General features: G+C 50.8%; 1 protein-coding gene across 9 annotated transcripts in view, besides 2 other annotated features; it reads right to left on the bottom strand.

Annotated features, from left to right (window-relative positions):
- The window catches only part of SORCS2 (sortilin related VPS10 domain containing receptor 2), a 550,290-nt gene that overhangs the window by 64,683 nt on the left and 472,320 nt on the right, over positions 1-13,287 (bottom strand). For all 9 annotated transcript variants that reach the window (XM_005247987.5, XM_011513515.3, XM_011513516.3 and 6 more), the window contains 2 exons: positions 10,932-11,021; positions 1,916-2,095 (listed from right to left, as the gene is read on the bottom strand). In XM_005247987.5, the coding sequence (XP_005248044.2) occupies positions 1,916-2,095; positions 10,932-11,021 (270 nt within the window). The remainder of the gene's footprint in view (positions 1-1,915; positions 2,096-10,931; positions 11,022-13,287) is intronic.
- Positions 408-1,400: an enhancer, noted in NCBI's record as "H3K4me1 hESC enhancer chr4:7678472-7679464 (GRCh37/hg19 assembly coordinates)". NCBI's record gives its function as "activates a minimal SCP1, AML or CMV promoter by ChIP-STARR-seq in primed H9 embryonic stem cells {active_cell/tissue: H9 hESC(primed)}" and the evidence as "EXISTENCE:reporter gene assay evidence [ECO:0000049][PMID:30033119]".
- Positions 4,128-4,628: an enhancer, noted in NCBI's record as "H3K4me1 hESC enhancer chr4:7675244-7675744 (GRCh37/hg19 assembly coordinates)". NCBI's record gives its function as "activates a minimal SCP1, AML or CMV promoter by ChIP-STARR-seq in naive H9 embryonic stem cells {active_cell/tissue: H9 hESC(naive)}" and the evidence as "EXISTENCE:reporter gene assay evidence [ECO:0000049][PMID:30033119]".

Raw genomic sequence — 13,287 nt, 5'->3', positions numbered from 1 at the left:
CTCACTCAGAGCCACAGCTGGGAGCCGTCTTCCTGCTTCATGAGGGGTGAATGGTGCGTGTTGTACCCAGCCTGTGTCCCGAGGGCAGGGACCAGAGCATGGCATGCGGTGGTGCAGGCATCACAGATGCCTGTGGACAGGTTGGCCGTGGAGTCCCACCCCACCCTGTTCTTGGCACCCTTCCCATCCCATCACCACCCACCCACTGCCTTCCGGAGGCAGGTCTGTGCTGGAACTAGTCCCCTCCTAGAGGCTCAGAGGGCAGGGCCTTTGGGACACTAGGGGTGGGGGTGGGCGCTGCCTAGCAGGTGGAGGAGGGCCGCCTGCAGGGGGCTTTTGGCAGTGAGGCTGCATCTGCATCGTCTGCTGGGGAGATGAACCCTGACAAATGGGTTATTATTGCAAACAAATGGTTCCATTTGTGATTTTCCTGGGGACCACAGTTCTGCTGCTGCTGTCAAGGGAGGGATGAATGCTGAGCCTGCTGCCTCCCACTCACAAGCTTGTCAATGCCACTGCCTGCCCAGGGTCTACTGGCCACCCACGGGACACTCTCCCAGCCTGCATCAATGGGCCACTGGGGGGTGTCCCCACAGGCAAGAGGAAGGAGCTTGGAGGTGAACAACTGAGAGGGGTCCCAAGAGGAGGGCACCAGGCTCAAAGCAGACAGGCCTGGGCCGGTCCTGGTTTTCCTGCTTATGTCTGCGTCTGCCTGGGCAGGTCATTTGCCTTCTCTGAGCCTCAGTTTTCTGGCCTGTACATGGGTCAAGTAGCCCCCCTCGCTGGCCATGGCATCTCAGGAACAAAGGAGAGGCCTGTGAGCGGCCTGGCCGGGGCGGGGCTGCTGCAGGGATCCAGATGGAAATGGAGCCACATTGGTGCGATGCACGGGGCGTTCTCTGGGGTCAGTGGAGGCTCACGCGGGAGGCCGAGGGGGACCCAGGAGGGCAGCGAGGAAGGCTCCCATCTGAGCTCAGACGGCAACTGAGGAGGGGAGGCCAGAGCTTCGTAGGTGGTGAGAGAAGTGGCAGCAGGGAGGGTGGAGGGCTGGGTTCCAGGGAGACAGAGAGCGAGAGCAAGCAAGTGAAAGCAAGCGAGTGTGAGAGAGAGACAGAGAGAGAGAGAGGCCAACTTCACACACAGAGAGGGAGAGGAAGGAGGAGATGAAGGGGCTGGGGTGGAGAGAGGAAGGCAGAGGGAGAGAGGGAGAGAGGGAGAGAGGGAGAGAGGGAGAGAGGGAGAGAGAGAGAGAGGCCAACTTCAGACACAGAGAGGGAGAGGAAGGAGGAGATGACAGGGCTGGGGTGGAGAGAGGGAGAGAGAGAGAGAGAGAGAGAGAGACAGAAAGGCAGACTTCAGACACACAGAGGGAGAGGAAGGAGGAGATGACAGGGCGGGGGTGGAGAGAGGGAGAGGGAGAGAGAGAGAAAGGCAGATTTCAGACACACAGAGGGAGAGGAAGGAGGAGACGAAGGGGCTGGGGTAGAGAGAGAGAGGGAGAGAGGGAGAGAGATGGGGCACTCAGAGAGAAGCACTGCCCTCAGGGGTGACCCCAGCCCAGGACGTCTGATGAGGGCTTGTGAGAGAGCTGGCAGAGAACACTCAGGCTGAACCCAAGTCAGTAAAATGTTATTCCCTCAAAGAATTCCATTCTTCTCATGACAAGAACTTATACTTGATGATCATTGTATTTCGAATTTCCTCAAGAAGGAAATTCTCTTTCTCTAAAAATACCTACATAATAGCCTCTTGGCCTGCAAAGCCTAAAATATTTGGCTGTGTACAGAAGATGTGTGCAGACCCTTGAGACAGCTATATAGACAGGCGGGAGGGGAGGGGGGAGGAAGAGGTGGGGTGAGAGGGCAGAGGGCAGGGGGTCGGCGGCAGACCTGGCCCACATCCACCCTGGACCCACCTCCAGGATGTCGATGAGCACGCTCTCCTCCGCCTGCCGTGAGCTGCGCACGTCCTGCAGCACCAGCGCGTAGCGCACGCCCCGTGGGTCCGACTGGTACAGGTTGTAGGTGTCCATCTGGTACCACTCCTGCACCGCCACGAACACCTGACTCTCGTCCGTGCTGATGATCTGCAGATCCTGTGGGGATGTGCAGGGAGCACAGGGTCAGAGCCAGGCTGGGGGCTGCACGAGGGAGGAAGAAGCAGGCTGCACAGGCCGTGAGGGTGCAGAAGACCCCTGGCTCTCCTGGAGCCAGCCTGGCCTAGGTTTGCCTCCTGGCTCGGCTGCTCTGGGCTCTGTGGCCTTGCACAAGTCTCCTCACCTCCTTGGGCCTCCATTTCCCCATCTCTAAAATGGGGATGGCGTTGGGATGCTCTACGCCGGGTTATGGGAGGGTGGCCTGGGGACACCTCCTCCTCCTGGTCCCACATCAGGCCGTCCATCCATCCGTCCAACAGTGGGGAGGCGGAGTTCTTCCTCTATGCACCCCCAGATGGTTGATTCCAGGGGGTGAGGGCTGGAGCCCCTCCCTCTCCTCCTATCCACAGCCCAGGTGAGTCTCTGCTCCCTCCTTCATTCAAGACACATTTGGGAAGTACCAACTCCATGCCAGAAACTTTCCAGCCACTGGATGCCTAGAAAGGCCCTGAGTGCAGTGGGGAGCCAGGTGTGGCCCTGTCCTCTGCGACCTGCAGGGAGGCACCGTGGATTCATCCACTCAAGCTTCATTGTCTGGGGACAATATCCCCACCTGTACATGTGCCAGACTTCTTTCCAGTCCCCCTGTGCCGGTCCCTGCCAGCCCTGAGCCCTGGGGGCACAGTCTGGAGGGGGAGGCAGAGAAGGAGCCCCACCAGGACCCTGTAAGCTAGTCTCAGAGGTTGAAGGGCAGCCAGGGCAAAGTCCCCAGCCTCGGTTTCCACTCAGAAGCAGGTGTGTTGGGCAGCTCTGGAGTGGGCTCAGCGCTTCGGGTTCAGCCCCAGGTTTTTAAATTCAGGAAGCAGCCAAAACCCAAAAGAATAAAAAGGAAAACTGGGAATACCTCAGTTTCTTGTTTTCTTTTCTTGCCCAGCCAGCAACAAATGCTATGTGGGAGGCAAGAGTAAAAGGGTCCAGACAGGCCCATATTGAAGCCCTAACCAGCTTCCCTCCCACCTCTGTTCCTTTGCCTTCTCTCACTCTGGAGCTTCATCACCCTCTGAGAACACAGTGCCAAGGTCCAGGGGCAGAGGACAGGTGGCAGAGGAGGGTCCGGCTGGCCCCACCTGCGGAGCCGCCCCTCCCAATTACGGTGTAGCTGTGGCTGGGATGCTTGGGGATGGCTCCCTTCGCATGTTCTCATCTGATAGGAGGGCCTAGGGAAGGGCTTTTTTTTTTTTTTTCTGTACAATAACAGATCAAATCCCGATTCTGTCCAGTGGAGCTCAGTTTTCAGTGGAGAATGAGGAAGAAGCTGCCCTGGCAGGTGGCTCAGGGTCGGGCTGGACTCCTGAACGCTGAGGCCCGGCCCCTTCCCCTCACTGCCCTGCCTGTTCCCTGTGCTATGCAGCCCCAAGGGCTGTGCAGAAAAGGAGAGGGTTGCTTTTTTTTTTTTTTTTTTTTTTTTTTTATTTTGAGACAGAGTCTCGCTCTGTCGCCCAGGCTGGAGTGCAATGGCGCAATCTCAGCTCACTGCAAGCTCTGCCCCCCCGGGTTCACACCATTCTCCTGCCTCAGCCTCCCGAGTAGCTGGGATTACAGGCGCCTGCCACTATGCCCAGCTAATTTTTTGTATTTTTAGTAGAGACGGGGTTTCACTGTGTTAGCCAGGATGGTCTCAATCTCCTGAACTCGTGATCCGCCTTCCTCCCAAAGTGCTGGGATTACAGGCGTGAGCCACCGCGCCCGGCCGAGTGTTGCTATTTTGGAGCTACCATGCAGCCCACAGGCAGAGAGGACCCCACAGTGGCAGGAGCCACAGTCCTGTGTCTATGGACCGAAATTCAACACACAGAAATGACTGGCACCGAGACACACAGAACCAGGGAAGGATGATGGGGCAGGGTGCCAGAGCCTGGCCGTCCCCATGTGTGAAGTGGGACCATGGGTGATGCAGAGCCCACGGAGGCATGTGAAGTGCCCGGAGGCAGCAGGCTTGTGGCTGTTCTGCCCTCCTCACCTCAGCTCCCCCTTCCTCCCTGCTCAGCGCCATGGGCCAAAATGCACTCTGTCATCCGGGCGTTGGTCATTCTGCTGCCTGACTAGGGGAAGGTTTGTCCACCAGCCTGGGCCGTGGCAGGGAATTAGACCGTGCAGTCAGATTGTCAGGGAGGATGTGAGACTCCTGCAGGGGTGGTGGGGGGACTGAGATTATGGGTGCTTTGAGCTCGGGGGCTTGGCGTCAACCATGTCGTCAGGATGCCGTATTTACAGCGATTGCAGCAAGTCACATGGTGCCTCCTATGCCCCTGGGTAAATGTTTACATAACCTGGGTAAATGCATTGGGTAAATGTGTTCTACAATCTAGGAAACAAAGAAAAATGCATAAAGTGACTCGAGGTTATGACTGGTGCCCCCTAGAGAGACCTCGCACCAGCGTTTTCAAATGTTTACGTTTGGGCTTTCTCTCAAGTGTGGTGCACATATTTTTTTCATGTGTAGTTTATAGTCTGCCCCTTTACATCACAGGCAGAGCATTTTCTCTGCCATTAAAGTGATCTATACACAGCACTTTTAATGACTGCATGATATTCCATTTTGTGGACGGGCCATATTCCACTGAGCTGCTTCCCTACGGGGAAACCGTCAGCGTTCTCAACATAACTGCGAGATGGTCATGAACATTTCTAGACACAGATCTCTGGCTCTCTGGTTATTTCCATGACATAAACTCCTAAGAAGGGAAATTGCCACATCGCAACATTTCGAAAGCTCTTGTTATCTGCTGTTAATTTGCTGTCCTGAAAATTTACATTAGTATCTCCCCCACCAGCAGTAGTAGAGGGCACGTATTTCGTTTTATGTATTCCAATATTGAGAATGGTCTTTTAAAAATATTTGCTGATTAGAGTTATAAATAACAGGCAATTTTCGCTTCATGTTGCATTTACTGTCTTCTTTGAGAAAAGGTAGAAGCAGAGACATTTTGATATTTTTACATGAAGGATGTAAGACACATTCAAATATACATATAGTATATGTGATTGTACATATTTGTATGACCTGGAGAAATATGCGGAAGGAAACACCAACGTTGCCAATATTTGTTATTAGGTAGAATTAGGTTTGCTTGTGAGTAACAGAAACAGGAAAAAGCTCTCTTTATTAGAGAGCTCTAAGAAGCCACGTAGGACAATTCCACTAGCATCTCACTGGCTAGATTTTACAAGCATGACCACATGTAGTTGCAAAGAAAGCTGGGCAATGCAGTCTTTTAGCTGGGAAGCAATGTACTAGCCAAAGTCTGGGGTTTGTTGAACTAAGACGAAGGGGCAGAATGGATATGAGGGGTATCCAGGACTTTCAACAATACCTCCTTGAGGAGTGAGGAAGTGAGACTGTCAGGGAAGGGAGGACTAGAGAGGCAAGCAGGTAGAAAGGGTATCTACACATATACATAGTATTGTTTATTATGTTGTATTATAAGGTAAATAGATGTATTCTTCCATTAGTTGTAGTGAATGCATTTTAAATGAGTAATTTTGGAAAAGTTTAAAAACATTTTTAATAGACATGACAGAGGAAATTTCTTCATAGATGTTTATATAAAATTCATGAAAGAGTCTAATGAACCAACACCTTCATCAAATTCTTTCAGCGCTTTGAATGTATCAGCTCGCTGCCTTCTGAACTCCGGGGTTCCTGATGAGACATCTGTTGATGATCATATTGATTATTGCTTGTATGTAATAAGTCATTTCTCTCTTGCTGCTTTCAAGATTCTCTCTTAAGAGTTTCTGACTTTTTGCCAGGCATGGTGGATCACGGCTGTAGTCCCAGCACTTTGGGAGGCTGAGGCAGGTGGATCACTTGAGGTCAGGAGTTCTAGACCAGCCTAGCCAACATGGTGAAACCCTGTCTCTATTAAAAATACAAAATTAGCTGGGTATGGTGGCAGGCACCTGTAATCCCAACTACTCAGGAGGCTGAGGCAGGAGAATTGCTTGAACCCAGGAGGTGGAGGTTGCAGTGAGCTGAGATTGTACCACTGAACTCCAGCCTGGGTGACAGAGGGAGATTCTATCTCAAAAAAAAAAAAAAAAAAAAGTTTCTGTCTTTTGACAGTTTGGTTATGTGTCTTGGTGTGGATCTCTTTGTGTTTATCATTCTTAGAGTTTGTTGAAATTTTAGATACTTATATTCATGTCTTTCATCAATATAAATTGATGGGGGAGTTTTGGGCCATTATTTCTTCAAATAGTCTCTCTGCCTTTATCTCTCTTCTGTTCCTTCTGGGACTCCCACAATCATATGTTGGTCTGCTTGATGATGTCCAAAAGCTCCCATAGACTGCGTTCACTTTCAATCCTTATTCTTTCTGCTCCTCAGCTTGATATTGTTTTAATTGTCTTATCTTTAAGTTCTCAGATTCCTTCTTCTGCCTTTCAATTCTGCTTTCGAATCCCTCTAGTAAATTTTTCTTTTCAATTATTCTTTTTAGCTCCAGAATTTCTTTTGGTTCCTTTTTATTTTTTCTATCTCTTTATTGCTATTTCCATTTTGTCCATACATCATTTTCTTGTTTTTCTCTATTTTTCCTTTCAGTTCTTTGAGCCTCTGTAAGACACTCATATTGAAGTCTTTGTCTAGTAGATCTGCCATCTGGTCTTTCTCAGGGAAGGTTTATGTTAATTTATTTTTTTTTTCTTTTGAATGCTCATACTTTCCTGTTTCTTTGTATGCCTCGTAACTTTTTTATGTCAAAAACTGGACAGTTGAGTCTAATGTCCAGTTAGATTGGACATTAATAATATGGTAACTCTGGAAATTAGCTTGTCCCCTTTCCATAGAGCTTGCCATGTTTTGTTCTTATTTTTTGATGGTTGTTGGCTATCTCTTTACCAAGAATCAGCCTTACATGTAAGCTTAACATCTTCCTAGGCCTTTTCTGAGCCTCTGCTTTTCCCTGGGCATGCCTGCTGATTTTCTACATTGTCCCATATATACAGTTGCTTTTGAATGTCTGGCTCCCAAAAGGGAAAAGGGGGAAAAATAAAAGAGAGGAAAATAGGCTGTAACCCTTTAAATCTCCTGGAAGCTGTTTCAACTCATGGTGGTTGCAATAATGACTGCTTGTCTGGGTATCTGCATGTCTATCATCAGAAGCAGTCAGTAATCAGAGCACAGATCCTCAGTGTTTGGAAGACAAGGTCCTTATGGCACCCCTGCACCCTCCCGCTCCTTCAAGCTCTGTGCACGCTGCTCTAGGGACACACGCACATTTGCCTGCCATGGGGCCGGGGTGGGGGATGGGAAGCCTCTACCAGGCTAAGAGCTGACATTATCCAAATCGACTTTGATATGCCATCCATGCCTTGCCCTGGAAACTGCAAGCTCTCAAATAGACTTGAGAATTCCAAAGCAGTTACACTGGATGGGTTCTGCCCGTGTCGTTGCCTTCTAGGTGGGAAGATGGATTCTGGGGCATCCTGCTCTGCCATCTTACCTGATCCTGATGTCACTTCTTTCTTTATTCATACGGCTTAGAAATTTTATTTTACTTTAAATACATTTATGGCAAATACAGGAATATTTCACTTTAAATTTGCATTTACCCATTCTTGTGAATGCTTTTATATAATTGATAGTTATTTGGATTTTTCTTCTCTTTTCTCTATTTATAGCTTTGGCCTATTGTTTACCTCTGTTAGGGAAAATGAATATTTAAAAAAAATGATGACAAGTAAATAAGCAAAAGATATTGACAAATATAAAAACGGCCCACCCTTTATAGTTTTCACAGACAGGTAAATTAAAACAGCAGGACGGTATCATTTATACCCTTTAACACAGAAGGAAAATAGAAAAACATGGCAAAGCTATGTTGAAGCTGATCTATTCCAACTTTGTTTGTGACAGCAGCCCAGCTTGCCCAAGCAACTAAGCTACACAAATATTTATATCCTTTGTTCTGAAGTTGTTCTTCTTAGACTTTAACATGAGAAAATTAAAAAGAAATACCTGTGGGCACACATAGATTCATTGCAGCACTGTTTATAATTATAAAAAAATGGAAACAACCCAAATGTCCAAGCAACAAGACTCTGGCTTAGCTCAACAAGGTACACTCTCCTCAATAAAAAGCTTCACAGTCATTTAAAGTAGATATCACGCATCATTCAAGAAACAGTCTCATGCTATAGTGTCCTGTGAAAGCAGGCTGGAGACCCAGGACTGCTCATAATTCAGCTACGTAAAAGCCCTTTTGCATATGGCTGAGGAATGCCGGGAGACCAAGAACTGGGGGAGAAGACATTGGGTGGATGAGGTGAGAGGTTTGCGGGTGAGTCCCCTGCTCCAATGTCTATGATTTTCATGATGTTAATTAAGCAATTAAAAATATAAAAAGAAAAAAAAGAGAGAGTTGAGTCTGTGGGAAGAGGAAACAGGCAAGTTACAAATTCACCATAAAACAACAACATCTGATGAGGAAATTCAATTAGCCACTTCTATAAGTTGTTGGTGGGAAACACTGGGCAGGCTGCTGTCCTGACCTGGGTGGAGAGGAAGCAGGCTAGCTGGCTGGCTGGGCAAAGGTCTCAGCAACATGAGATGTGGTATTGAAGACCCCGTAGGGCTCTGGGGGCCCCATTCTCCTGACAGCAGCCCAGCTTGCCCACTTCTTGATGAGGAAGTGACCATCATCTTCAACTGCTGGTCACTGGGTCCTGTGCATGGACCCCTGAGGGAGGACATCGATAGTCACAGCACATGCCACCTGCCCTGGATGGCTCCCTGGTATGCCCTTGAAACTGAATGACCTGAGGCTGGGTGTGTGTCTGTCACTGCTGTGAGAGTCTCTTGAGTCTTTTCAATGACCTCCAATTTCCATGGAAATGCAAGAAGAAGAAAACCAGTGTAAAATGCACACTGTCAAGGGTCCACAGCGGGAGACATGACCTGGTGCTTCCTGCAAATCTCACTGACATTGCATCTGCAGGTCCAGGGAGCAGACGCCCAGGGAGCCATCGCTCAAGGTCACAGAGGTCATGACTTATAGCCATAGGCTCCTTAGAGCACCCTTGGCAGCAGGCTGACTGCTGGCCCAGCTACCCCAGCCTCCAATGCTAGAGGGGAGCAGAGAGGGTCCCTGTATGGGCCTAATTCTCGGCTGTGCACTTTCCTCTCCCCTACACCAGGACAAAGAGCCCAGGACACAGGAGCTTCTAATGCTGTAGCCCCCAAAGGTCGAGGGAAGGCTTCCCAGATGCTGAAAAGGTCCCTCACCTCAGAGGGACAGACACCTACTGCCTTTGCCTGAAATGAAACCATTAGCTTTTAATTTACATACTCAGCCAAGCCTGGAGTTCAGTCTATTAAGCTCACTCCTTTTTTCCTTTTATTTTTTTCTTGTTTTTAAAGCGAAGGTTTTAAAAGGCCTCCTAGACTTTTCCCATTTCTGGCTCAGGAGAGGTCTGAGGGTGCCCAGTGCAGAAGCTCCCATGTGCAAGCACTTTACATTAAGCCACAGCCTGGGTTTGGAGGGCCCAGAGCTGCTGGCCCCTCCCACTCCACTCTCACTCTCTACCTCAGGGTCTTAGCGCCTGCTCTGCCCTCCACCCGAACCATTTTCTCCCTTGCTCTTCTTGGAGCTGCCTTGGGGCTTTGGATAAAGAGTCCCTCCCCATCCCAGCCCCAGAGGGGCCTCCATAGCTGCCTGGCCTAAATCAGCCACACACACAAGCACTCGAGCACACACACACATACACACTCATACACACGCCCTCCATCACTCTGTGTCTCTCCCTCCTGTTCCCTTCTTAGCAGAAACCACAACTTGCAATTATTTTATGCATTTGTCTGTCTACTGGATCTCCTGCCTGTTCCCCGTCTGTAAAGCCCACAGGAGCAGGAACCTGGGGCTTCTGATTCACAGCATGGCCTCCTAGCACACATTCTGGTTTATATTTGGTGCTCAGTAAATAAATGTGGAGGAAGGGAAGCTTCATCTGTTTCTCAACTATGCATGTGGGACAGAGATCTTCAGAAGGTGTCATCTCAATGTCCTCACGAGGGAGGTGTGGCATGAGGCTGGGCTGACTCACCTGGACCTCAGTTTGAGATCTGCCTTTGTTTCTAACTAGATGTGTGATCTCAGACAGGTTAGTGTCTCTCTGAACTTCCATCACCTCCTCTGTTAGGTGGGAATAATATATTAATAGGGTGGAGAGAGGCCCCAAGGCAGGGGCAGGGGCAGAGTTGGGCAATCCCCAGCTCCCCTGGTCCCCCTTCTTCGCCTTCTAAGGCAAGGGAAAGGCAATAGCAATAACTGAGCACCTACTATATGCCAGGCAGCATACTAGGTGGCTGGAATGCAGAGGTGAGTACAGCAGAGATCATCCCCACCCCAGCAATATCAGAGGAGAGCAGGAGATGGACACTGGAGGGAGGGGTCCCTGGCACCCTGGGCACCAGCAAGGAGAAGAGAGGGATGGGACCAGAAAACAGAGGACTGGGCCCGCCTGGGGGGCCTTTAGCAAGTGATATTTCTCCTCAAATACCACATGTGCAAGGGTTCCGGGGAAAGATGAACCAGGCAGAGGGAAGAGCCTGGCAGAGGCCTAGGATGAAGCTGGGCACAGCTGAGTCTGGAAGGGCTGGGTGGGCTGGAATGGAGGGTGTGAGGGGTGAGCAGCTGGACGAAGCGTGGCCACACTGTTCTTGTCCATCCTGACCTGGGACCGCCAAGCACCTGTGTGTGAGTCCTGTTGCCCCATGAGTCAGGATAAGCTTAGGGTCTGGCCACAGGACCAGGCGGAATGGGGAGCACCTTACCTTTGGCAATGCATACTTCGGCAGCTTCATCAGGACAAATTCATTTCGACGATAAGAGACGTAGTATTTTGTCTGGTTTGCTGATGTTGCCTAACCGGGGGAAGAAACACATTTTTGAGAGGCTTGATTCCCTCTCCAGCCACAGTCTCATGAATGAAAAACTACATGTTATATTCAGCAAGTGAAAATGCCCTTTTACTTTCCTTCTACCTGTTCTGCTTGAAATGAACAGACTCCTATTCATCCTTCAAAGCCCCAAATTAACACCCCTCCTCTGGGAAGTTGTCTTCTGCTTCCTTCAGTCAGAACTAACTTCTTTCCCTATGCTCTCTCAGCACCTTGCTGCTCTGCATCCAACTTATGGAACAAGGTGGAGAAAGTTCCGATGGAGAAGGAGACAGGCCAAAGATGCGCTCGTTACCAAAGGTGATCACTGAACCTCGAGGCATGACAAACAAAGCCGGCACCATCTCGAGTGCTTTTCCCAGGCAGCTCATTTGACCTCATAACAATCAACCCCATGAACTGTGGCCATGGGCATCTGTTCCCAGAGACAGAAAGGCCCGTCAGGACAGGACTGTGGCAGGTCTCTGATTACAGAGGCCACATATCCTCACTGCCACAGAACAGGAGGTGCAGCTTCCTGAGCCACCAGCACCGCCACCTTGTTGGTGGTGAGGTGGGGCTGGAAGGGCTGAGGTTTCTCCCATCCCAGCACAGGCTCCCAGATCCTCTGAGGACCAGGGTGGGAGGAGGGAGGAAGGGAGAGGGCAGGGGAGGCCTGGGCTGGGGTAGGGAGAGCTTTCCTCTGCAGTTGTTGAGAATGACGGAAACCAGGATAGAAACTGGATGGAGTCGGTGGCCCCCACCTTCTCCTGCCCCTCACAAACAATGTCGCGAGCACCGACACCAGACAAGCTAAGTCTGTGACCTTGTGCAGAACGAGACCACCCTGCGATCGGGTCTGAACACAGACCAGACGTGGACGTCGTTCAAACCCCCAAGATGCCCAGACACCCACCCTGGCTGAGATGAGCAAGGGCTGCTGCTTTACTGCCCGGCTCCTGCCTCCCCCTGAGTCTCCTGCCTCCCCTGAATCGCCCCTCCCTTTAGAGAAGATTGATTGAGATGCCCAATCCTAGCAGGACCTCACCTCCTCACATCCCTCAATCCAGAGTCACACCCGGTTTCCTCGCAAGCCCCCCAAATCACCTCCTGCAGCCCACACCTGACAATCAGGCCCTCCTAACCTCTCTGAGATGCCCAGGTTCCCCAGGGCATGTGTTCCCTCTTGCTGCACTGAGTGATAACCCAGCCTGCTCGGCCATAGGTGAGCTCCGGGGGTCTTAGGCTGCAGGGCTTTGACAGGCGAGCCTGTCTAACGTTTAGAAACCACTCAACATGGGAGATGGTTGCCCAGAGAGCTGACACTGTCTTTGCTCTGGTACTTAGTGGACATCTGCAGAAATGCAATGCTAGGAGCTGGGAAAGCAGGTGGGGGGTTCAGACCTAGAGCCCAGCCTCAGCTTGCCTGAGTCAGGTGTAGGGACAAAAGGAGTAAATGGTACGGAATGACACAGTGGGGCCTGGACTGTGATGGAGGAAGGCACAGGGCTGGGGGTCTTCAGAGGAGGCACCAGTGACCCTGAATTGGAGGCAGAAGTCAGGGAAGACTTCCTGGAGGAGGAAGTGCATGATTGAGTCTTTGAGAAGGAGCAGGAATCAGCCAGTGGAGAAGCGAGGCACAGCACAGGGAACAGTACGAGCAAATGCATGGACTGAGGATCAAAAGCCAGGGGCTGGGGCTCAGCAGAGAGCAGTGGAGACTGGGCAGGGCTGGAGGTTAGGATCAGTGGCAGCAGCAGCCTCCTGTCTGGCCTGCTTTAACAGTGGGGGATGGGATGCCCACTGCCTGCCCTAGCGCCTAACTCCTTGGTGGCCCTTGGCACAGACTGAGTGTAGAGTGGGCTGCTGGGGTGACCAAGTGTGGCTGAGACATGGAAAGGAGGAGGCTGGGAAGCACGGAGGCCCTTCTGGGGAGAGGGCACCCAGCAGCTGCTCTCAAGGGGCTTCCTTGGGGGAAACTTTGGATTTGTTTTACAGGGTCCCAGAGGGCAGAACAGAACCCAGTGGATGGGAGTCCGATGACGCAGACTCTGTCTCAGGGCCAGAAGAAACAGGCCAGTGACGGGCTACTCAGCAGAGGGCTAGGCTGTTTCGGGAGGGCTGAGCTCCCCATCCATGAAGGTGAAGAAAAGCTGGATGGATTGGTTGTGTGCTAGAGTTTCTGAATTAGCTGGGACCACATGGCTGCTGAGGGTGGGCCCACTTGTGACCTGAGGGCACAGGCAGCAGA

Source organism: Homo sapiens, chromosome 4, assembly GCF_000001405.40.
Source record: "Homo sapiens chromosome 4, GRCh38.p14 Primary Assembly".
NCBI lineage: Eukaryota > Metazoa > Chordata > Mammalia > Primates > Hominidae > Homo > Homo sapiens.
Note: the sequence above shows the minus strand (reverse complement) of the source record. Positions and strands in the feature narration are given on the sequence as shown.